This window comes from Homo sapiens, chromosome 18 (assembly GCF_000001405.40).
Source record: "Homo sapiens chromosome 18, GRCh38.p14 Primary Assembly".
Classification (NCBI taxonomy): Eukaryota; Metazoa; Chordata; class Mammalia; order Primates; family Hominidae; genus Homo; species Homo sapiens.
Window position 1 is genome coordinate 37,988,763 of NC_000018.10, and position 3,050 is coordinate 37,991,812.

Below are 3,050 nucleotides of genomic sequence, written 5' to 3' on the forward strand. Positions count from 1 at the left end.
AGACAGCTGGCTGAAGCATATACATCCCACATTTGTATGTGTGCACATCGCACATGCAGAAATCTTTTTCGTGAGATTTGGACTGAAGTGCCCTAGATTGAGTCTTCTATTTTGTGTTGAAGTCTGTATTTTGTATGGAAGCACATAGAGTACCTCTTCATTTTTCCTCCTACTTAATTCCTTTCTGCTCGAGGGTGCTAAAAACTATGGATAATTTGTTGTGTATCCCTCCTGCCCTTTTCTATGCAGATATAGATAGATAGATAGATAGAGATACATATTCATGTGTGTACATATATTCATATGAATTTTAAACCTAAATGGGATCATCTATATACATGTGATTCTAATGAGTTGTTTAATGTATTGCTTAAACATGGACCTTGATGAGATCCTTCCCTGTCAGTTGCCTTCGTTGTTTTTAGCTTGATGGTGTCCTATAATAAGGAAGCCTCAGAATTTATTGAAGCAATATGTTACTGGTGGATGTTCAGATGTTTCCAGTTTTTCCTTATGGGCATTAAAAAGTATATTAATACTTACAATTTTGGTTTAAGTATACATTTGTCTACAGGATAGTTTCACCAAAGCAGGATTACTAATTTTTAAAAAGCCAGTGGTTTAAGTCCCATAAAGATTCTATCTATTTATATTCCACCAAAGCATATACTGTGTGTTAGTAACCATTCTCCCACATCAGTGTTTGCAAAATTAATGTGTGAAAATTTTTATTTCATTACTGTTTTAAAATATATTTTCTTGGTTACTAGTGAGTTTAACATCTTTTTATGTGATTGTTCATTTTAAAGTCTATTTTTATTGTCCCAAAGAAGCCATTTGTCTCATCTCTATTCCTCATTAATTAGAATTAAATCCTTTTGATTTCCACTGAATTTTTTTAACCATCAGATATCTAAGCCAAGTCATGTGAAAGTGTTAAGTGAGTTAAATAATCAATTGATCAATATGTATTCACTAGGCAATTAATGCCTCTAGTCTGTGCTGGCTATTGTTGGGTATACAGCTCTGGCTTTTAAGGAGCTTATATGATCTTTTAGGGTGATAAGACTCAAACTGTAATCAATGACAGTACTACAGTTTACTAGACCCCAAGGGCTGTGGACAACCAGGGAAGAGAGAGGCTCTGCAGGTTAGAATAGCTAGGAAAATCTTACTGAAGGAATTACCGTTCTGCTTGACCTTGAGAGATGGATGCTGGAGGAATGGAGTGCGTTTTAGACCAGGGAGGTCAGCCGAGGTACTAAGTGGATTTCAGAGGGCAGCTAGGAGTGCAGCCATCCTGCAGCAGAGATTATGGAGACCCATGGGAGTCTATGCATTGTTGAGCTGCTGTGAGCATGGACCCAGCCCCATTATATACACAGAAATTACTGTTTCCCTCCCTACTATGAGGGTCTGCCTCTGCCCATGCCCATCTTGACCTGCCTTCAGGAGGCTATGTCAGGGAGTTTGGCTTTCAGGCTCAGGGTTCAGGAGGACAGATAAGGATAGGGCATGGCTCTGCCCTTCCAAGTTCTCCTGGATCCCCCAGGAAGCCACTGGATCTGGAACCTGCCTAATTGCAGCCCCTAGAGCCTCATCATTTTGTCCAGAGGTGCCATTGCTGCAATTACTCTCTAAACCCAGAGTCAATTACTCACTGTGTGAATCACCCCCAAAAGATTGCTTTTTCCTTTTCCATTAGTATCACACATAATTGCACTCTGTGTGGTTCCTAAGCTCTTATTCCTGACTTCAATGTCCATGAGAATCTGGGTTGATTAGAAAGTCCCTTCATCTCCTATCACTGACCTCATCAACACTTTCCATAAGGTTTTTCACTATTTTCTTCATTAACAAAACACCCACCTCCTACCATTAATTATTCAGCTCCTTGTGAGGAAAGAATTGCTGTGTTTTCCCTGCTGATTTTTCCATATGTTTATCCTTTCTTCTTTCTTCTTTGTCTTCTTATTAACAGGAAATGTTAACACATATCCTAGAGTTGTAGGGATGGTTGATTTTGATACCACTGTACTTTGTCTTTTATAGCCACTATCCCTTGAGGACCCTATACTACCCCACCTCTTGGCTCTCAAGATCGCCGTGGGCTAACCAAGATCTCAAGCTTAGCTTTCTGTCTGATGCAATTTCAAGCTGCAGCTGACCCCTGTCTTCACTCTCCTCCTGCTGTTCAATGTAGCTGTCCCATGTATTGCCTGCCCTTGGGGCTTATCAAAGGGGATCAACCAATTCATCATCAATAATTTAACAGTGGCATACTACCATAGCATGAGTTAACAAAGGTAAGAGTCATGCTGTGCCCTCACAAGCAGCGACAGATAGGGAGAAGGAGAAGAAGATAGAATAGGGTGGATCATAATGTGGGATATCAACCTAGCTAGATGAGAGAAGGGAGCAGGCAGTCCTCCATCTGGAATCCAAAAAGCAATAGTGACCTCATTTCACATTTAGGCCAGAACGCATATGCAAAAGGCTCAGTCTGGTGTAAAAAGACTCATTAGTAGGGAAATTTGGGTAGTGCTGTTATTTCAAGAAAGTCAAAATGTATTGACCCTTGGAGACATTGCACATGAAACACATATAGCAGCAAAGGAGTATATGGTGGGATGAGGTGTTGGAAGGGCAGGAAGAGCAGGAACATAAAACAACACAGTATGTAAAAATTCAAGACAAGGTGGTTGAGGTTATAGGCCCAGGCACTAGGAAGTACTGGAAACCCAAGTTAAGGTGTCATCACTGAGAGTGAGCAAGCACAGCAGGGGCTTATAAGGAGGCATATAGGGGGCATATAGGTATTTGGGAAATACTACATGGTAGGTAGCACAACCAAGTCTAGAGTCACTTACTGGTGGATGTGAACCCACAAATTTGATGCTAGCCTTGTCCAGTGTTGGAATGAATACAACTTCATTCTTACCTCAAAGCAGCAGGATTTGCCTAGGTTGACAGGCCCATGTTGCTGCCTATTAGAAAATAGATCCAAAGCCTAAACTCCAGCTATGCTTCAAAAATAGGAAGTCAAGAGG